This window comes from Homo sapiens, chromosome 16 (genome assembly GCF_000001405.40).
Source record: "Homo sapiens chromosome 16, GRCh38.p14 Primary Assembly".
Lineage (NCBI taxonomy): Eukaryota > Metazoa > Chordata > Mammalia > Primates > Hominidae > Homo > Homo sapiens.
Genome location: NC_000016.10, coordinates 58,186,239 through 58,208,563, shown reverse-complemented (window position 1 = coordinate 58,208,563; position 22,325 = coordinate 58,186,239). Strand labels below are relative to the sequence as shown.

Sequence of the window (22,325 nt, the reverse complement as noted above, 5' to 3'; positions counted from 1 at the left end):
GGGGTGGGGGGATGATTTTGGGATGGAAATATTCCACCTCAGATCATCAGGCATTAGTTAGATTCCCTTAAGAAGGCTGGGCGTGGTAACTCATGCCTATAATCCCAGCACTTTGGGAGGCCGAGGTGGGTGGATCACCTGAGGTCAGGAGTTCGAGACCAGCCTGGCCAACATGGTGAAACCTCGTCTCTACTAATAATACAAAAATTAGCTGAGCATGGTGGTGCACACCTGTAATCCCAGCTACTAGAGAGGCTGAGGCAGCAGAATCGCTTGAATCTGGGAGGCGGCAGTTGCAGTGAGCTGAGATCACGCCACTGCACTCCAGCCTGGATGACAGAGCGAGACTCCATCTCAAAAAAAAAAATTCCCATAATGAGCATGCATCCTAGGTCCCTTGCTTGTGCAGTTCACAGTAGGGTTTGAGTTCCTATGAGAATCTAATGCACCATGATCTGACAGGAGGCAGAACTTAGGTGGTAATGTTTGCTCACCTACCGCTCACCTCCTGCTGTGCAGCCTGGTTCCTAACAGGCCATGGACTAGTACTGGTCCACAGCCCTGGGGTTAGGGACCCCTCCTCTAAAGGACATTATTTGGGCAAATGACAAAATTAGGATAGACCCTAAGGATTAGATGGTCATAATGTATAGGTGTTGACAGAATGACACAATTCTGCTAATCAGGACAAGCTCCTGCCTCACTGAAAGATGAATCTCTCAATGACACTGATGTCCAGTGTGGTGGCAACCACTGCCGTCTTTTCCTAATTGTCTTTCTCTACTGTCATCTGTGTCTCTTCCACTTTCTCTATGGAGGGATTGATCATACCTTAGGCATGTAGAGTTTTGATCTTCTTGGGATTGATTGTGTTTTCTGATCATCCATGGGAACTTCTGCTATACTCTGTGCTCTCATGGGCATCAGAGCTGACAAAGGGCCCATCACTAATGTAGCAGGATGAGCCCCGGACAAAACCCCTCAGACACTGGGTTAAAGAAATGGCTTTATTCAGCCGGGAGTTTCCTCACTGGCTTGGGAACAGGCAGGACTAGGACCCAGGGTTTCTATGTCATCCTCTAGTCAAACAGGAAGACTTCTGCAAGCATCCAGAATGGTGTGCTTCCTAAAACAAAAAGTAGAGCTTGCATGTGCAACTTCATTTAGTTTCATTTAGTTTTTCTTCAGGATAGAGAAGCTAGTGTCTGTCGGGGGATAGTAAATGTCACCAAATCCCAGGCTCAGTGTCTTCTGAACAGAAGGCCTAAGGGGAGGAAGAGTAGGGGCTGGAACACAGGAGGAAAAGTCCAAACTCCAGAGGATTCCTCCACGTTTTTTTTGCCTGCAACAATCAGAGCAGCTAGCCTTTCTGGGGAGCAAATATTCCTGCTTCAAAATAACAGCAACTGTAATGTGACTAGCACATGTCTGATTTCCACTGGTGACAAAGTCACAGGTACTGCTAATACTGCCATGTTTTGTTTTGTATTGTATTGCTTTTTTTTTTTTTTACTATATCCATAATGGGAGAGAGGAAATGCTAAATTTTATTTAGAGATTGGTGAATAATGACATAATTTTTTTGTGTCTGAATTTATGAACCCACTGAGTTCTCACTACTGACCTAGGTTGAGGACCTCTGGTTTAGTGTGTGCGGAGTCTAAAAGCCCAGAGATCACTGTAGGAAAGGCCCCCGGGGGAAAATCCAGGGAGGAGCTGGCTTAACTCAGGACAAAGGCTGTGGGCACCTAGACAAGAGTGTAGATGGGAGTGGCCATCTGGAGAGGAAGCCAGTTGCACTTGGTTGGGGTTGGGGAGTGGTGGGGGGGATGTGGGAGCTGTTGGTGATTCTGGGAAATTTGGTTGGGCTAAGAGATACTGTGGGCAGGGTGCAGAGGCTCATGCCTATAATACCAGCACTTTGGGAGGCCAAAGCAAGAGGATCACTTGAGCCCAGGAGTTTGAGACCAGCCCGGGCAACATGGCAAAACTGTCTCTGCATAAATTGGCTGGGCATGATGATGTGCACCTGTAGTCTCAGTTACTTGGGAGGCTGAGGTGGGAGGATCACTTGAGTCTGGGAGATTGAGGCTGCAGTGAGCCATGATCGAGCTACTGCACTCCAGCCTGGGTGACAGAGCAAGATCCTGTCTCATAAAAATAAATAGATAGATAAATACATAAATAAAATAAAGAGATACTATGGAAGAGCAGTTTGGCAGGAAAATGATGAGTGTTTTTGAAGTTTGATGGCTTTGCCAGGGTCTATGGGAGACTGTCACTGCAGCGTCAGCCCACTCCCCTCCAAATGCCCACTCCAACCAGGCAGAAGTGGGTGTGTCCACCAGGAAAGTACTGTTTGCCCTTCAAAGTAGCCCCTCCACTTTTGTATCTCTTGAAACTCCAGGATTAAGGCTGCATTCACCAGACTTCTTAGTCCTTTTCCTATTTAAGATTTAAATCCCTTTGCAATAGCTGTTAGTTAAATTTTAGTCTAAAGAGATTAATTCATCCTTCCCTGAGAATATTAGAAGAGTTTCAGTTCACTGAGCTTCATTTGGGGGGTGAGGGGTGGGCACCCCCCACCCCCCAAATGAAAAAAATATGTGCCCTTTTCTCCAGCCAGGCAAGACTGAATAAGAGGGGTCACCCACAGGAGCACCAGCAGAAAATTCCCATTCCTCTGGCTCTCTTGCCCAGGACAGGCTCTGGCACATTCCCACCATCCCCCTCAGGGGCATTCTCTGGTTGGAGGACAGAGTGGGTCACACGGTAAGGATGACTAGGACAAAAAAGAATAAGAAAGTGATATTCCTAAGGAATTTATGTGCGCATGTTCCCAGGGGGAGTGCAGCCAATTTGGCCTTAATGTATATATTTTATTCACCTGTCTGGTGCCTGAAAGAAACACCAAGGTAAGAGTCCAGCACTCTGGTAAATTAAACTAAATTTGGCCTGCGGACATCTCCGTACTTGAGTCTTTATATAATGAACTGCAACCTACCTTGCAGGTAAACCGACCGAAATCCTAACTTAGGAGTCTACTATTGTAACAAACAGCTGAGTCTCAGCCAATCACAGCAGCCAAGCTTCAGTCAATCACAGGCGCCCCACTGATCAGACCACGTTCAAATAAGGCAAGAGCTGAGCTGTAACCAACCCAACTGCCTGTGTACCTCATTTGTTTTCTGTCCATAAATGTTGCCTGACCACGGTCAGGTCAGAGTTCTCCATGCCTATTCTGGTTCTAAGGGCTCCCTGATTCTAGAATCGTTCTTTCCTCAATTAAACTCTGCTAAATTTAATTTGTCTAAAGTTTTTCTCTTAGCAATTCCCCATAAACTCCTTGGATTACAGAGAGAACTCAAGACCCTACGTCCCTACCCTCTGTCCTTTCCTAGCTGGTGTAAAGCCCCCATTAACCCACAAGTTCTTGAGGGGAGGATTAGGATGGTCAACAGCCTGAAAACCTTGGTTTGATTCCCCCCAATTATGAAAGTAAAATCTATGCTTCCAAGACCCCAAAGCATGTAACGCATTTCCTTCCAGTTCTTTTTGTATGCATTTGTTACATACCTGAAAATTTATCTAAGTGTAGGTATAGGCCGGGCGCGGTGGCTCATGCCTGTAATTCCAGCACTTTGGGAGGCTGAGGCTGGCAGATCACCTGAGGTCAGGCGTTCAAGACCAGCCTGGCCAATGTGGTGAAAACCCCGTCTCTACTAAAAATACAAAAATTAGCCGCGCATGGTGGCAGGCTCCTGTAGTCCCAGCTACTTGGGAGGCTGAGGCAGGAGGCTCGCTTGAATCCAGGAGGCGGAGGTTGCAGTGAGCCAAGATTGTGCCAATGCACTCCAGCCTGGGCAACAGAACGAGACTCCGTCTCAAAAAACAAACAAACAAACAAAACAAACAAACAAGCAAAAAAACTATAGGTATGCACTGGTGTCCTGCTTTGAAACAAAGCAAAGCAAAACAAAATAATAGGTTGTATCATCCATTCTTATTGCATAGAAAAAGGCCTGGAAGGATACACACCGAACTGTGGAAATGTGGAAGGCAAAGAAGGACAAGTTTCACTTTTTATCTGACTGACTCTTGAATTTCTTGAAAAATATTAATGTTAAAGAAAAAATTATTCGAGGCACTTTTGTTAAAGAGGGTAAGGCAGACTTTATCCAAATGAGGGTCATGGCGACAGGTATAGGGACCACTGCAAGGGGTTTTGCTGTGAGTGACAGAGACCATACTCAACAGCTACTCCAACAAGAACACGTGGGTATTTATAACTAAGGAACAGAGTCGGGGTCAGCGGACAGAAAGTTACTAAGAGGACACATCAGGGACAAGGGGTTTCTGGCTAAATTGACTTGACAGAGTTATTGCGGAAGGCAGGCCAGGGTGATAGGATACTGAAGGTGATCAGATGGCAAAGGTAGTGATTTTTTGCTCAACTGATTAGCAGCATTCTTGCTCAAAGTAGATTCAACAAGGACGAGAGGGAAGTCCAAGATCAAGCTTATTATAAAGGACTCAGGAGCCTGAGTAAAGTTTTCATCAAAGGAGACAGTCTTTGTTATTAACCATGCACTACTGCAGGAGTTTCCCATTGCTGCTGTAGCAAATTGCCACAAACTTAGCGGCTTTAAGCAACACAAATTTATTCTAAACGGGTCTCGTTGGACTACAATCAAAGTGTTGGCAGGGCTACAGTGCTCCTCTAGGGGAGGATCCGTTTTCTTGCCTTTTTCAGCTTCTAGAGGTGGTCTATGTTTCTTGGCGCCACCCCCCTTCCGTCTTCAAAGCCAGCAATCACATCATTCTGACCACGGCTTCATCAATACATCTACTTCTCTGACATCCTGCCTCTCTCTTTCACTTTATACGGACCATGGTGAGTATATTTAATCAACCTGGATGCTCCGTGATGATTTTCTATCTCAAAATCCTTAATTTAAGCACATCTGCAAAGTTTCTTTTTCCATATACGGTAACATATTTACAGATTCTGGGGAAGAGTAAGTGTATATCTTTTTTTTTTTGAAATGGAGCCTCATTCTGTTGCCCAGGCTGGAGTGCAATGGCACAATCTCGGCTCACTACAACCTCCACCTCCCGGGTTCAAACAATTCTCCTGCCTCAGCTTCCTGAGTAGCTGGGATTACAGGTGCATGCCACCACACTCAGCAAATTTTTGTATTTTTAGTAGAGACAGGGTTTCACTATGTTGTCCAGGCTGGTCTCAAACTCCTGGCTTCAGGTGATCCACCCACCTCAGCATCCCAAAGTGCTGGGATTACAGGCATGAGCCACTGTGCCCGGCCATAAGTGTGTATCTTTGAGGTGGGTGAAGGATGTTATTCTGCTTACCACAATTACTTGTACAACTTTTCTTTTTGGGACGGAGTTTCGCTCTTGTTGCCCAGGCTGGAGTGCAATGGTGCAATCTCAGCTCACTGCAACCTCTGCCTCCCAGGCTCAAGTGATTCTTCTGCCTCAGCCTCCCAAGTAGCTGGGGTTACAGGCGTGCTTCCACCATGCCCAGCTAATTTTTTGTATTTTTAATAGAGATGGGGTTTCACCATTTTGGCCTCAGGTGATCCACCCATCTCGGCCTCCCAAAGTGCTGGGATTACAGGCGTGAACCACCACACCTGGCCACAAATTTTTAACACGTATTTATTTATTTATCTATTTATTTTTGGAGATAGGAGCTTGCTCTGTGATTCAGGCTGGAGTGCAATGGCATGACCATAGCTTACTGCAGCCTCGAACTCCTGGGCTCAAACAATCCATCTGTTTCAGCCTCCTGAGTAGCTAAGGCTTGCACCAACATGCCCAGCTAATTTTTTAAATTTTATTGTAGAGTTGGGGTCTCTCAGTGTTGCCCAGGCTGATTTCAAACTCCTGGCCTCAAGAGATCCTTCCACCTCGGCCTCCCAAAGTGCTGGGATTACAGGCGTGAACCACCATACCCAGCTCTCCTATTTAAAAATCTTGTGTCCTAAAATTTGTCCATTGCTAAAAATTCCTCATAATCATGCTTTTTAGTAACGCCTAATAGTTTCACTGTAGGGAATGTATCACAATTTATTTAGCTGGTCCCCCAGCTTGTGATATTTACATCACTTTACATTTTCATGATTAAAGATAATGATTATCATGCGGAACGTCTGTGGGCCTTTGCATGACATACTGAATCAGAAAGGGGTTAAGGAAAGTGACGTGGTGGTCAGAAAGATCAGAGTTCAAATCCAGGCTCTGCCTCAGTTGGTCATTGTCATTGGAGTCTTGGTTTCCTCCTCCGCACAAAGGGGACCCTTACAAGAGCTCCAACCTTATAGATTTCTAAAAACAGCTATGTTGAGATAAAATTCACATAACATAAATCCACCCATTTAAAGTCTAAATTCAATGGTTTTTAGCCATGTACGGTTTTGGCGGGATTCAATGATGTAGAATCATTATGTGTGTGATGAACACACAAATTGCCATCATGATCAATAATTCTTTGTTCATAATTTTCATTATTTTGTTAGGCTAGGTTCTTGAGAAGTATCGATGCAGGATAAAAGCCTATAAACTTCTCAAATGTTTTGAAAGTAGGCTTGTGAAGATAGGTGGCCTTCAGTGGGATTTTAAAATGTGCTTTTGTTTTTTGGATTTTTGGTGTTTGGATAGAATTTGGGGGCATTGGAGGTGGTATGAAAGTGTTGGGTTATTTGATTCAAAATACCCTCTTTCATTCCCTTGTGTTGCACCACTGAATTATACTCACCCTCAAACTGCACACACAGAGTAATGAGGGGAAGTCACTTCTAATTCACGGACCCTCCCTGCCTGGCACCTCCCCCGCAGAGTCACCACCCTATCCCTCTTCATATCCAAGTGAGACTCCTTCGGTGAGGGTTGCATGAGTACCATTTCCAATTGCCCACCTTAACTCAAGCCACGCCAGTTTCATGGCGGGTGGGCAGAAATGAGAGGCAGGGGTCTCTGCCAATTCCATGGGGTGCCCACCCAACCTCCCAACAAACCACAGAAATATTCCATTTGGCTGTGGGTGGACTGACTGCAGGTTTTAGGGCTGAGTTAGTATGGTGTCAGCCAAATCCAGGAGTGTGTTGCACCAGAGTGGTGTGTGGGTGAATCCTCAGGCATCCCGCAGGTGTGGGATCAGGTTACGTGAGATGGGTGTGGGCTATGTGGTGAGGGATGAGAGGAAGGTGCACGGAGGGTGGGTGGGGTCAGAGGTGGGCGAGGGTGGAGGTGAGGAATGAGGCCCCAGCTGAGGTTGGACATAGTAGTTAAACCAGTGGTTTGGAATCATTTTTGGGTCATGGCCTCCTTTGAGAATCTGATGTATGCTAAGGAAAGAATGGACACACACACACACGCACATGCACACACACACACACACACACAAACCCACAAATTCTGCATATTGTGTCAGGGGTTCCCAGAACTGGGGAAATTCATCCAAGGACTGGCATTAAGAATCTCTGGTCTGGTCTAGTTCACAGGGACTTGTCAGAAACAAATCCTAAAGCTGCATTAAGAGCTTGAGGATATTTATGTCTTCTAGAGTGAAAGAGATTTAGAAAGGTTTGCAGGTTCAGGAATTAAATTCCAAAGTCCACTTTTTCCATTAATTTTTTTTTCTAGTTTTTATTTTGAAAATTTTCAAATTCTACCAAAAAATTGCAAGCTCATGTACTGTTCAACTACATTCACTAATTATCAAAATTTTCCCCCAATTCCTCCCCACTCTATGCATGCTTATGCTCTCAGAAACCCACATTTTCCTGGAGAACAATTTGAGACTAAGTTGCAAATATTGATTCTTCATCTCTACACACTTGGCATGTAACTCCTAAAATTATGGGATTCTCCTGCATAACTAAATACAATGATCATACTCACAAACTTTAACATTGATACAATATAACGTTGTGTAATATACATTAACATTGTGTAATATACATCCTATATTCAAATTTCCCCTGCAGTAACCTTCTATTAGGTTGGTGCAAAAGTAACTGCGGTTTTCGCCATTACTTTCAATTGAATTTCAATAACTTTTGCACCAGCCCAATATGAGCTGTATTCTTTCTCTTTCCCTCCTTTCCTTTCTACTTTAAAAAAAAATCCAGACTCTAATTCAGAATCATACACTTCATCTAATTATGTCTCTAAGTCTTCAGTAACAAGAATACGAATCTAGGGTTTCGTTTGGTTTTCTTTCTCCTAGTGACATTGACTTTTTGAAGAACTCAGGCTAGCTGTTTGGCAGAATGTCGCCCAGCTTGGATTTGTCTGATGGTGTCCTTATCATTAGATTCAGGTTAAATGTTTTGGCAGGAGGACCACATGGGGGAGGTGTCCCTTCTCAGTGCATCACATCAGAGGATCAGTTGGTTCCCTACTGATGAGAAGTTTGGACCATGGGTAAGGTGGTGACCTCGTTTCCCCTTGGTAATTCCTAAGTCATCTGTGGGGTAGCACTGTATTTACTGAAGGTCTCTGACTGTGGCAAATGCTGGGAGAGTCAGTGGTGAGCGCCCACACTCTGTCCTTGCTCTTGTGCTGTTTTTACAAAGGAGGGGACAGACAATAACCCAGGAAACAAATAATGACAAGATATGCAGTTTGATGAAGGACGTGGATAGGGTGCTGAGATAGAGAAGTATCAACTCTAGAGAAAGTGATCTTTAAGCTGAGACTTGAGCTGGAGGCATGCCTGTAGTCCCAACTCCTCAGGAGGCTGGGGTGGGAAGATCGTTTGAGCCCAGGAGTTCTGGGCTGTAGTGTGCAATGCCAATCAGGTGTCCACACTAAGTTTGGCATCAACTATGATGACCTCCTGGGGCTGGAGGACCACCAGGTTGCCAGGTGGCAAACAGCAGGTCAAAACTCCTGTTCGGATCAGTAGTGGGATCATGCCTGTGAATAGCCACTGCACTCCAGCCTGGGCAATATAGAGACACCCTATTTCTAAAAAAATACTACTAATAAAGAAAAAGGTGAAATTTGAATAGGAAAAAGGAGACACCCTTGGGAAGGTGGGGTGGAGGGGTTGGGGGTGGCTCCTAGTTAAGCTTGGAGGATAGAAGGAACCAAAAGACGGATGCACGGTGGTCTCAGGGAGGGAGGAATGAGCAGAGAAAGGCCCTAGGCCTGGAAATAATCATATTGAACACATGCTATCCTAATAGTGAACACCATCCTAAGTGTTTCACATGGTTTACCTTGTTTAATTCTCCTTGCAGCCCTGTGAAGTGAGCGTTATTACTGGTTTTATGCTGTAGAATCTGTGACACAGAGAGGTTGAGTAATTGCCCTAAGGTCACACAGCTTCTAAGTAGCAGTGCTGGATAGATCTGACTCCACAGACTGTGCTCTTAGCTGTGTCAAGCAGGAAGGCCCAGGGTTTCATCCAGAAAACAGAATGTGAAAAGGGACTGGAATGAAAGCAACCTGTACTGGGTGCAGAGGTGCTGTCGATAAAGGATGAGGGATGGGAAAGGAAGACAGAAGAAAGGCCTAGAAGATCAAAGGAGAAGGGTGTTCAAGGCTGCAGGCAGCACTGGAAGCCAGGCCAGCTCAGTTGACCACCTACTCTGGGCACATCCCCAACCCAGCCTGTCCCTTCAGGTCGGATTTGCAATTCTCCTGCTCTCCCTCCTCCTAAACACAAACAGGAGATTTACACTCTCAAAGTCTCTCCCCACAAATGACTTATTAATCACAAAGGGAAAAATTGTAACTTTGCAGTGGCACAACCTGGTCAATGCCAGCTTAACCAAGTGACCAAAGTGGATATTCAGGGAAGGCTCTGGAAGGGCATTTGGGGGAAGTGTAGAAAGGTTTTGTGAGGAGCACTCTGAATGACGGGGGTAGGAAGCCTTGGGGACTGAGGAGTCTACCCTAACAGGGCAGGGTCCAGAGGGGGAAGGAGGGGTATGTCTCGGGGGAAGGGAGAAGTATTGAGGTGGGGGAGGTTCTGAGGTTTGAGTGAGGCCCTGGGGAGGGACTTGACAGTTTGGGTGACAGGAGGGTCAGAATAGGGTCAGTATGGGATGTGTTGGGTGGGTAAAAGCTGGGTGAGTGCAGGGCTGGGGATAGGGTCTCCAAGGACAGTGAAAGGGTCGGGAGTCGCGGGCGAGGGCTCTAGGGCAACGGCCAGTGGAAGGGGGGGCTCCTGTGGCGTGAAGTCAAGCCAGCCCGAGGGTGAGGCGATTTGGACAGTCCGACCTGTGGCGGCGGGAGGGCGAGGGTGGCGGAGGGCGCGAGGTAGGCGGCGGGGCGTGCCGGGGCGGGGCCGGGGCGGGGCCGGCACCGCCCGGCGGGTCCCCCCGCGCTCCAGGGGGCGCTGTGAGCCTGGGCGGCCCCAGGCCGGGCGGCGGCCGCTCCCAGTGAGCGCGGCCCCTTTTCCGGGTTTCCTCCGCCTCCTCCTCCTCTCCTCCTTCTTCTCCGCTGCCGCCGCCGCTGCCCCTTTCCCGGCCGGTGGCTGCCGCTGCCGGTGCCGCCGCCGCCGCCTCCTGGGGGCCGCGAGCCGAGCGGAGACCGCCGCGGAGCGCGAGCGCCGCCCGCCCCGCCGCCCCGCCGGCCGCTCCAGGGCCGGGCCGGCTCGGCCGGCGCCCCCCGCGCCCCCAGCCCGCCCGCCCCCGCGGGCCCGGCCTGGCGCGGCCGCCCGCCGCCGCGCTCCTCCTCCTCCTCCTCCAGCGCCCGGCGGCCCGCTGCCTCCTCCGCCCGACGCCCCGCGTCCCCCGCCGCGCCGCCGCCGCCACCCTCTGCGCCCCGCGCCGCCCCCCGGTCCCGCCCGCCATGCCCGGCCCGGCCGCGGGCAGCAGGGCCCGGGTCTACGCCGAGGTGAACAGTCTGAGGAGCCGCGAGTACTGGGACTACGAGGCTCACGTCCCGAGCTGGGGGTAAAGCCGTCGCCGCCCCCCGCCGGGCCCGCTGATCCCTGCCCCCGCCCGGCCACCCCCTGCGAACCGCACTCGGGCCCGGTGGTGTCTCCCGCCGACCCCTCCGCGGGCCCGCAGGGAGGCAGAGGTCCCGCTCTCGCACATGTCCTCGTCTTCCTCTTCCCTCCCCTTTACCCCCGTTTCGTCCCTTTCTCCCCGCTTTGCGCACCCCTTTCCCCCAAGGAATGCTTTTTTACTCGGGGAGAAGTGTGGGGTCCAGGGATCGACGCCGGGTGGAAGTGAGGGAGCTGCCCTTCCTCACACTTCTGGGTTTCCACTGGGGTGGGAAGTCAACAGCTGTCCTTTGGAGCTATTAAAATGCCCTGCCTTTTAGGTTTTCTGAGATGAGGTGGTGGGAGGAAATTTCTTAAAGACGTCCAGATTTTTAAAACAGGCATTGTCTACCTTGAAGATGTGAAACGAGAAGCAGGTGCTGGGGAGCCGCGGGGCACAGGGGGCACCCTCTAGGCCTTCAGGACGGGTGCTTTGCTCGCCCCTCTGGATTGGCTCAGAGCGTTGCCTTCCTGCCCCATCTTCCCAAGTTAGGAGAGACCAATTAGGTTAGGAGCTCTGCAGAGTGAAGGGAGCCAAGATTATGTCGTGGCTTTCATTTAGGGAATGAGTTGTGACGTGATGTATAGACACTTCCAAGTGTTTGCCTGGTGGAAGCGGCTGAATGACGTGTACAGTGGGCATAGGCTTGGTTAACCCCCAGTCCTGGCATTTATGTGTGTGTCTTCCTTTTACAGTAATCAAGATGATTACCAACTGGTTCGAAAACTTGGTCGGGGAAAATATAGTGAAGTATTTGAGGCCATTAATATCACCAACAATGAGAGAGTGGTTGTAAAAATCCTGAAGGTGAGTGTCCTATGAGTGGTATGTAACATTTTCCTCCCCACAGGGCAAAAGTTTGTAAGGTACCCCAGTCACATTCTATAATGGGCAATGCAAGCTTGAATTTAATTTAATTTATTTGTTTAGAGTCAGAGTCTCACTCTGTCACCCAGGCTGGAGTGCAGATCATAGTTCACTGCAGCCTTCAACTCCTGGGCTCCAGTGATCCATCTCAGCCTCCCAAGTAGCTGGGACTACAGGTGCATGCCACCACGCCCAGCTATTTTTAAAATTTTTTTGTAGAGTCAGGGTCTGGTCATGTTGCCCAGGCTGGTCTTAAGCTCCTGAGCTCAAGCAGTCCTCCAAAAGGACTCCTTGCAGGCCTCCTATAGTTGCTGGGATTAGAGGCGTGAGCCACTGTGCCCAGCCGACGCTCAAATTTTATTTATCTGATGTCCCTTCATTACTTCTTTTTCCACCCCATTTTCCCATGAACTTTCAAGAAAATGTGCAGACATCACAAATCTAAGTTCAGTAAAGTGTTTGTTCTAAAATGTAAATTCCCTAAAGCAAAAATTCCAAAAGGGCTCCGTTTGTTAGAAAATAAATAGGTAATCAAAAGACAGAAAAGCCACTCTCAATTTAAGGGCTCCCTGAGCACTGTGTTTGTTACTCTTGGTGCATGCTGTATGTTATTCCAGAAAGAAAGTTGGAAAAAATTGGAGCGACTTCAGAAATGTATTTCAAGCCCAAGTGGAAGGAAATTCCTTAGCGGATAATCACTTGTTTTTTTCCTTTGGCAGTAAAGTTTCAGGTGGTATGGATACAGTGCACCAGTAGTGCTGAGAAGCCTTGTTGGGAAGCCAGAGAGCCATTGTTGCTTATAAGCTAGTAAAAATATAGAAGAGTTCATGTATAATTACTAAAGTAATAATTGGAACAAAACTATCTTAATATATGGTTTAGCAATGAATTTGATAATGATATGACGTTATCTCTTTGATGAAGATGATTTTAATTAGCATGAAGGGTCGGCTAAATTTTCCTTCTGGTAACTGATTGTGTAGCTTTAATAATGTTTTATAGGGTATAGTAAAAAGTAGTTCTTAGAATCTGTGATGGGTCCTCGTTATTGCCGGATCATTTCATGTGGATACAAGTCATTTAGTGAGAGATTGAGAAGACCGAAGAGTGATGTAAGCACTTTGCATACATGTGATTTCCATTGTGGCCCTTTTGCAGAGGTTCTGTGGACTAGAAAAGCTGTGGTATAGAAAAGCTGTTTCTGTGTGCTAGGGCAGCTGGTATAGGTAATCCCTGTTTAATGTGAGGGGTCAGGCTTATGCTTTCTGGTAATCATCTTTCAGAAAAAATGATTAACTCCATCACTCAAAACATCCTAGCCTAGTGATAAAGGAGCAGAATTGCAGTAAAGAGAAAAAGCAAAGTTATTTGTGTTCTCAGACACACTGGGGCTGAGAAGTGAGGAACTGATGTTGAAGATACTGAGTGTGACTCCTCTCTTCCCTAAATATGAATTGCATTTATGAAGTCACAAGGTGGTTTTTTTTTTTTTTAAGTCACAGGAAAATTACCTTAGAAAGCCATACATTAGCTTTATGTACATAAGCATAAGTTTTCAATAAGCTGCTTCAAATCTAAGAAATAAGCAAAACGTAAATTGAAATTAGGAATATCCATATTCCACTGCTGTATATTCAGAAGAATGAATTGCTGACTCTAAAGCAATTCCAGAAAAATGTCTGAACTTTTGTGCTATGGCAGCATTTTTAGAATAAGTGTATGATTTTCTGTGGTGCTTTTTTTTTTTTAAAGGAACAGCATTCAGGTGTGTGTATAAATACCAGCATGTTCATTTAGGAGAGCATCGCATTGCTGCTTCATCATCCAAAGAGCTTTATAGGCTCTAGCTTTCCCCCTACTTTAAAGATTCTTGGCGTATGTTAGGAAACCCAGTATGTAAGCTGCTGCAGGTTATCTTTACAAATGGGAGACCTAGGCACAAAGAAACTTACCTAATGTCATTATGTTGAATGACCATTAGCCAGAACTCCTGTTTCCTATTTCTTCATATCTCTTACTGTTCATTTTAGCACTGGATTGTAGGATCTGAACGTTGAGCACAGAAACAGGTACCAGTGTCCTGGAATCAGACTTGGGAGGCCCCTAGTTAATGAAATGTTTCTTGTTTCTTCTTGATGTTGTTTGTTTTCACAGTGCAGCCTAAACCACTAGTGAAAATTAGACTCACTTCTTTATGTTTTTTAAAGCCCGGTGGCATTTCTATCCAGATTTTGTTCCTGTCTGAAGGATGGGGTAATATATCACTAATGGCATTATTGTGGTTTTGTTGTTTTGTGAATTAAAAGTATTACTTTTTAAAAAGAACAGGGTAACAAGGTCTTTAGCCAAAGTTGTGTTTCTTTATTCAAATAAGTTGAAGTTATGACTAATAGCTACTATTGTGGTGCTTGGTCATAGGAAATTAGGTCCTTAACAGACTACCAGCTCCTCATAACTTGGAAGAATCTAGAACAGCCTTCCTTTTTGTAAAAGCCTGCTGTATTTTAGCTGCAGGATTGTATTATGCACATAGTGACCAAGATAGAGGGTGGCTTTCTTGAGGACAAGTGGTCTTACTTTTGTAGTCAGTAACGTTTCGTATCAGTTCTTTGCAATATATGTGAGAATGGGTGGATGATGAGTGACTACAGAGGAATTTTATATCATTTAATTTGCATTAGTGGATTTCCAGGTATTGATCAAAAATGAGCTGCTAAAAAGTTTTAGGAATTTAGAAACTGGTGAGCAAAATTTTACTGTCTATCCCCAAGTGGTATTCTGTGGCTAAAATCTTAAAACTTTCCAATCAATAGAGAGGTTGTATCTTTTTTTGACAAATTGTTTTGAGGAGAAAAGAGAAAAAGGAGGAGGAAAATGGTAAGCGTTTATATGGCAGGGCAGAAAGCTACATTAGTGCCAAAAGTTTCATCTTTTGATTTTGAAAAATCAGTTCTTCATTTCCTTTGTAGTACCTCTTAGAAAAGTGTACACAGAAGTAAAAGTGGCCACCTTTGACAACTTTTAGCATTTTATGAATACTGCCTGTGTGTGTAGATTTCAGTACTTCTTGGGGTCCTTGGGATCTTTCAAATTAAACTGCTATTTCTTGAATAAAAGTTAAGAGCAACACTATTTTTAAAAAACAGCATTTTGAACCAGTGCAAAATGACTTGGAAATTCCCATATAAGGCTTCCTCTTAGAGGTCTTATTTTATAAACAGATTGACTATCCATTTTCCCCTAGATATTAATTATTTAGCTTTAAACAAAGGGTGGTGGTATTAAAATTTTGCTCTTTAAGCATGTTTAGCATACTTGCAGATATTTTTTAAGTTCTGTGTTGTCAGTAGGTAGTGTTAAAAGGATGGGCATTGGTTATACATCTTTGTTAGTAGCTTCATCGTGAGCTGGTGATCTTTATATTATATCAGAATGGTGCTTTCCTCTTTATTTCCTCTTTATTTCTCCTGTGGTAGGTTTTTTACCCTCCTAAATTTAGGCATGTGTATGAAGACATCTTCCTGAAACAACACATTAGTGGTATTTATCTAAGTTTTTGGTACATTCTGATTTTCACTAATGTCTCATGGTATAAAAGTAGTGCAAACAGTATCACTAAAGTATTGCTAACATTAAAAATAATGTTAAAAATTATATGTGAACTAGGCCGTTTCCAGCATTGTACTGGGGAGTCACAGATTAAGAGTGTAGTTAACCTGTGTCAAACAGAATCGCAGAATGCGGGCACTTAGAAACCTAGAAACCATTAGAACCCAGGCCCTTTTTACAAATCAACCAAGACCCAGAGAAAGGATGTATATGCTCAGCGTCATGTAGTCAGGGGGTGGAAGCACTCGGTGTAGGACCTTGTGTACCTGTCATGAAGTCTTGGTAGATGCGAGGAGCATAATTAGGACATTAGCTGGATGTTTGACTTTGTGATGTCCTGATCTGTACTGGAAGAATTGAGGAACACTCACCAGGAGTCAAATGAAGTTAATTCGTTTCTAATGATTTTTGGAGTTATTTTTCTCAAAGGAAGTGTTTGACTTTGGTAAGTTGCTAGTTGAAGTGTGGAATCCAAGAGTCCTCGAGGGCTATAGGGACCCAGGCAGGCGTTCTCTATGATTAGTATCCACAGCAGCATGTTTAATGCTTCAATGAAATGCTGCTTTATTCTCTTGAAGCCTCAGTAAATAGTGTTTTTATGGTTTTTTTTTTTTTTAACCCATAGAGTTCCTCCAAGTCTCAGCATGATCACTTGGCAGATTTCGGGATTAATAGTTTAATAGTTTTATCCCTTTAATATATGAGTTTATTTGAGAGCAAACCACATGTGAAAAGAATATCTTGATATAGTGTGCCCATTTTCATGTATAAAGCAGGGCTCCAGATAGTTTCTAGAGTTTAATTTCAGGATCTACCATCTCATCATCAGGGTGGTGTAGTGTAGGAAGTGCTGTAAATGAGAGGGCAGAAGGCTTGAGTTCCAGAACTAGTTTCTTCATTGATACCCACTTGACTGTTTTCTCATCTATGAAATAAGCATACATTTCCTGCTTAAGTCACAGGATTGTTAGGAAAGTCAGATAAACTATAGATAGATGGGTAGAGAGATTGATTGTCATGTTTTAGTAATCTACAAAATGCTTTTCTTTCCTGAGAGAGTATGGCCTAGGAAGTGGTCTGCCTGGTTTCAGGTGTTAGCTCCAACTGTAGACGCTCTGTGACGTCAAACAGTTACTTAAGTTCTCTGTGCCTTGGTGTCCTTCCTCAAGTAAAACTGTTAATAGTGCTCATCTAAGACGGTTAAATGTGCTTAAAACAGTGCCTGGCCTGAGAGATCAATAAAGTATAGTAGTAATAACAATATTACATTTGGGTCATGCGAGTGATGTTAGAGGCAGAACCAATAGTAGAAAGGGTTGTAGTGTTCTCCTAATGAGATTCAAAGGGTCTGCTCTATGCCTTGCCTTTAAAAAAAAATTGTGTTAAAATACATGTAACATAGGCTAGGCGCGGTGCCTCACGCCTGTAATCCCAGCCCTTTGGTAGGCCGAGGTGGGCAGATCACCTGACGTCAGGAGTTCGAGACCAGCCTGGCCAACCTGGTGAAACTCCGTCTCTACTAAAAATACAAAAAATTAGTTGGCCATGGTGGCGGGTGCCTGTAATCCCAGCTACTCAGGAAGCTAAGGCAGGAGAATTGCTTGAACCCGGGAGGCAGAGGTTGCAGTTGGCCGAGATTGCACCATTGCACTCCAGCCTGGGCAACAAAAGTGAAACTCGTCTAAAAAAAAATAAAATAAAATAACATAAAATTTACCATCTTAACCATTCTTAAGTGTACAGTTCAGTGGGTAATGTTGTGCAACCATCACTGCCGTCCATCTCCATAACTCTTCATCTTGTAAAATGGAAACTCTATCCATTAAACAGTAACTACCTATTTCTCCCTCCCCCATTTCCTGGCAACAACCGTCTTACTGTTTCTATGAATTTGACTACTCCAGGTATCTCATATAAGTGGAATTGTACAGTATTTATCCTTTTGTGGCTGGATTATTTTGCACAGCATAATGTCCTCCAAGTTTATCACTGTTGCATGCATCAGAATTTCCTTCCATTTTAAGGCTACATAATTTTCCATTGTATGTATATACCACATTTTGTTAGCCATTCATCCATCAGTGGATGGGTTGCTTCCATGTTTTAGCTATTGTGAATAATGCTGCTTTGAATATGAGTGTACAAATATCTCCTGAAGACCCTGCTTCACTTCTTTTGGGTATAGACCCAGAAGTGGAATTGCTGGATCATAAGGTAATTCTATGATTAATGTTTTGAGGAACTTTCCATAGTGGCTATACCATTTTACATTCTGACTGCAGTGTACAAGTGTGGCTGTTTCTCCACATCCTTGCCAACACTTCTTTTCTGGTTTTTTTGATAGCAGCTATCCTGACTTGTGTGAGATAGTATCTGATTATCATTTTGAATTTATGCCTTGCCTTTTTAAATAATTTTTTTTAACTCCTGAGAGTAAACAGTTACCCTCAAGGAGTAGATCATGTAATTGGGGTGATGAAACTTGAAAGATTAGAGGAAAAGTTTTCTGTGATGAAATAACATTGCTCAGATAATATTTTTATATAGGTCAAGTGCAGTGAGTTTTAGGGATGCCACCAGGGTAGTGAATTACGTGCCATCATCCAGGCTGAACTTTCTTTTTACTCTGTCCTTCTACATTCTTGGCAACCATTGTTCATTGCAGGTGATGAAATTAATATCTTGGTGGAGCACTTGTTAGTTTGGTAGTAGAGTAAAAGTAACCCCAAATTTGAGAGCTAGGAGCTGTAGATATGTTCCTGCCTGTCTTGAATTTGTCAGTTCAGTTGTTCTTTTTTTCACCACTTTGTCTACTAGATTTCAAGTTAAAAAAAAATTTTTTTATTGGTTTGGACAATAGCTAAACTGATTGAGTTTGAATCTTTTAAACAGATAGTCTCTGAATTGGAATAAATGAACCCCAGACGGAGACTTCTTCTAGCATGCAGAGTGAAACTGTGAGATCGTTGTGGAAATATATGTATTTTCTCCATTTTGTGTAACTGGTGGTGAATGGCTACAGGCTCTGGACAGGAGAGTCAAGGCATCCTTATTTCTGTAAAACTAGGTTTATTTTCCTTAGGATACCAACAATCCTCCCTCATAAATCCTAACTTTTTATCTCTGATTCACATTAAAAGGATCACTTTCAGCTCCTCAGAGCTCATTGGTTTAGTTTCTCGAGCATCTCTCCAGTTCAGAGGAATAAACTGAGGCTGAAGGGATCTACCTGTAGCTTAGTTTTTGATGGTTTGGAGGGAAGTGTCCTGGACTGTGGGTCTGTCACCTTCCTTTTTTATCATTTCTTGGTATTTTGTTTGCATGTGAGGACTCTAGCTGCCTTTGTGACTTGGGACTCCTTTGTGCCACCTTCAGAGTTGCCCTGCTATTCCCAGTCTCTAGTTTGGGAAGTTTAAGTTAGACACCTGGTGGGCAGCAAAATATGCTTCAGTTGCTATGCCAGATACCTTTAGATGTATTGAGAGGGAGGTTCATCTTAACTGGGTTGTCCAGGCCTGACCTGTTGCTGAATAACCGGAGACCAATGCAAGACTTTACATGGGGCAGCGTCATAAAGGCAACTAATGGGTTGTGCCTGTAAGGAGTTAGGAGTACTGTTAGAATTAGAAGAGGGTTTTTGGTGGATATAGGCCTCTGGCTGTGGGTTTTTTTCCTCTCTGTTACCACTCTTATAGATCTATAGCTGCTTTCCAGTATTGGATGACAAATCTAGAATTTTCTTATATCGAAAGGCATTGACTAAACTGGTAGCATTGGCTGAATTTATAAGTATAAGATAGCCAGCTTTGGCCGGGCGCAGTTGCTCATGCCTGTAATCCCAGCACTTTGGGAGGCTGAGGCAGGCGGATCACCTGAGGTCAGGACGAGATCACCCTGGCCAACATGGTGAGACCCCGTCTCTACTAAAAATACAAAAAAATTAGCTGGGCGTGGTGGCACACACCTGTAGTCCCAGTTACTTGGGAGGCTGAGGCAGGAGAATTGTTTGAACCTGGGAGGCGGAGCTTGCAGTGAGCTGAGATTGCGCCACTGTGCTCCAGCCTGGGCCACGGAGTGAGACTCCGTCTCAAAAAAAAAAAAAAAAAAAGCCAGTTTTTATTTTTCTTTTAACTTCTTAACATAATTTTGGACTTAAAAAAAGTTGCAGGAATTCCCATATCTGTTTCACCCAGACTCCTCAAATGTTAACATTTGTTTTATCCTTCTCTTTCTCTCTCATATACACACACATTTGTGTACATATACACACACCTATATAATGACATTTATGTTATGTATTTCTTCCTGACGTGCTTGAGAGTAAATCGTAGTCATCCCTAAATACTTTGGTATGCATTTCCTAAAAATAGTTTCTTACATAACCCTACAATGCCATATTAAAAAATTAGAAGGTAACCATTGATGCATTGCTGTTACCTAATCTACAGCTCTCATTCACATTTGCCAGCTATCCTTATAATGTTCTTTATAGCAAAGGAAAATCCCAGATTACATGATGATATTCAGCTGTAGTCATGTGTTACATTCAGTTGTCACATTTTAAAAGTCTGGATCAGTTTGTTTCATGAATGACATTGACGTGTTTGATCTTACAGGCCGGTTATTTTGTAGTGTGTCCTTCCCTGGCTATTTTTTAATCAGATTGTACAGTGCTTTTTTCCCCCAAAGTTTCGAGCTCCCTCGTTAATGAAAAAGGGACTAAGGAGTAAGGTTTCTAAGTGGAGTCGGGGAACATGCACAGCAGCCACATCTGCTCTCCTGGGAACCCTGGCACAGCGGGCGGAGAGCGGGTGTCATCATGGCAGCTGGCTCACAAGGACGCAGCGAGAGCCCAGCCTGTCAGTTGAGCCCCCTGTTATAGGTGATGCAAGTGCTCTTGTTTCATAGTCCTCTCCTTCTCTGTTTTGTTATGTGTTCAAAGCTGTATCTTAGTGACCAACAAAAGATGAAGGTTTCTCTGGCATGTGTGTATGTTATATTTTCCCCCTCCCCTCCCCTTCCCCACCCCACACACAGGCAAAAAAAGTCTTGCTTTATTATTTATTGGCAAATCCATTGGCCTCTCTTTGCCTCTGCTATTATAACAGTGTCTCAGTGATAAAATACTCTTTTTTCCTTAGTTACGTTTCTCCCGTTAGCCACACTTGGGAAACAAAAGCACTGTGGCAAGAGTATAGCATGCAGTCAGACTGCCCAGCTTCCAGCTTTGATTCCTGCCCCTCTCTGCCATGGGCTCTGTGATCTTGGGCAGATAGCTCAACTCTGCTACATAAGGACTTTGTGAGGAATCACAATGACTTATTAAATAATAAATTACTAAAAATATGAAAATAACACTATCATTTATTAGGTGCTTACTGTGTTCTGGTCACCATTCTGAGTGCCTTATAAAGCATACTTGATTATGATAGACTTACTTTTTCAGAACTGTTTCTATTCTTCTTCAAACTCTTTAACTCATTTAAGACAAGGAGTAATATGTATAATGAGAGTAATTATTTTTAAAGCCTTTAATCTTTCCAGCAGACTGAAAAGTTAGATAGAAGTGTTCAGTCACTGTTGTATCAGATTGATTTCTCCTTTCCTGATTCAACATTTCTTTCTTCAGGAATGGGATCTGTTGGAAAACATTAACTGGCTCTGTGCTGATTTCAGATTCTAGATATTAAGGAAATGGGAGTGGTGACAGGAAATGAGAGCCAGCAGCTGGGAAGCAAGTTTGTAACCTGATGTCAGTGAACTGGTCTTTCACTCCTGAAAGACAAAATTACATGTAACTCATTGGAAGAGCAGGTGTCTCACCATTTTGTTTCAGTTTTTCCATTTGTGAGTGCATGATATACAGCTGTTCAGAGCTATATTTTCCACTTGGCAGTTATCTAGTAAGCCCAAGTTTTATTTTTAAAGTGTGATATGGGTATTCAAAATTTTTAAGTGCCCTCAATGTAACTACTTAGAAGATCTTGACACATAAGCTGTATGAGTCTGTAAATTATTTAACTTAATGTTAAAGGTTCTTATGGGCAAGCCCATTCTATTTCAGTTTTTTCAAATTTAGGCACACTCTTGAACACAACAGAGTGTACAAGATAGCGTACTATCCATCTGATTGGCTAACATTGTTTTAAAGTTTTATTTATTAACTTCAAAAGGAGTCTCACTTCTGATTACTCTTGTGTATTTAAGCCAGTGAAGAAAAAGAAGATAAAACGAGAGGTTAAGATTCTGGAGAACCTTCGTGGTGGAACAAATATCATTAAGCTGATTGACACTGTAAAGGACCCCGTGGTAGGTGCCAAATGGTTGGGGGAGTATACTAGTAGACCGGGGTGTGGATATGGGAGTTGTTTAACACACAGAACCTCACGTAATGATACAGTGGGGATGGTGGTGTTTGTCTTTAACTACTGACTGGTTTGAAAACCAGAAAAAAATCATGGTGACCCAGTGATAAAACAGCTACCACCACTGTGATGGAACCTAAAAGTGTACAGAGAAAAATCCCTTTTCTGGGTTTGTACTTCACTATTTTGATTCAGCCCACAAATGTTTGCTGAATGTCTCCTTTAAGCCCCAGCCTCTTTCCAGTTTTGAAAGTTCATTACTGCCAATTTGTGTTACTCTACCTCACTTAAGTAAGCATGACATTTGAAAATCTGGGTTTACACAAGGAAAGAATGAATATCTCCACGTGGACACCTGGCATAAAGGCCTGAGCAGGTCCCAGCTCCACTGACCCTGTGAAGAAGTCTTCTTCTTTCCCTTAAATCAGCATATGCCATTAGGGCTCATGTCACATGTGTA

The 22,325-nt window shown here is 44.1% G+C and overlaps 1 protein-coding gene and 1 pseudogene across 3 annotated transcripts in view, besides 3 other annotated features; both read left to right on the top strand.

Moving 5' to 3' along the window:
* Positions 8,735–8,996, top strand: RN7SL645P (RNA, 7SL, cytoplasmic 645, pseudogene; annotated as a pseudogene).
* Positions 10,105–10,234: a silencer, noted in NCBI's record as "silent region_7547". NCBI's record gives its function as "represses an Ori minimal core promoter by ATAC-STARR-seq in GM12878 lymphoblastoid cells {active_cell/tissue: GM12878}" and the evidence as "EXISTENCE:reporter gene assay evidence [ECO:0000049][PMID:35858748]".
* Positions 10,285–10,554: a silencer, noted in NCBI's record as "silent region_7546". NCBI's record gives its function as "represses an Ori minimal core promoter by ATAC-STARR-seq in GM12878 lymphoblastoid cells {active_cell/tissue: GM12878}" and the evidence as "EXISTENCE:reporter gene assay evidence [ECO:0000049][PMID:35858748]".
* Positions 10,458–22,325, top strand: part of CSNK2A2 (casein kinase 2 alpha 2) — a 40,200-nt gene continuing 28,332 nt past the window's right edge. For 2 of the 3 annotated variants that reach the window (NM_001896.4, XM_047433626.1), the window contains exons 1-3: positions 10,458–10,931; positions 11,720–11,831; positions 21,708–21,809. In NM_001896.4, the coding sequence (NP_001887.1) occupies positions 10,828–10,931; positions 11,720–11,831; positions 21,708–21,809 (318 nt within the window). In that variant the 5' untranslated portion in view covers positions 10,458–10,827. Of the gene's footprint in view, positions 10,932–11,655; positions 11,832–21,707; positions 21,810–22,325 lie in introns of those variants that run through there. The other variant, XM_005255801.4, reaches the window with a different exon arrangement.
* Positions 10,955–11,024: a silencer, noted in NCBI's record as "silent region_7545". NCBI's record gives its function as "represses an Ori minimal core promoter by ATAC-STARR-seq in GM12878 lymphoblastoid cells {active_cell/tissue: GM12878}" and the evidence as "EXISTENCE:reporter gene assay evidence [ECO:0000049][PMID:35858748]".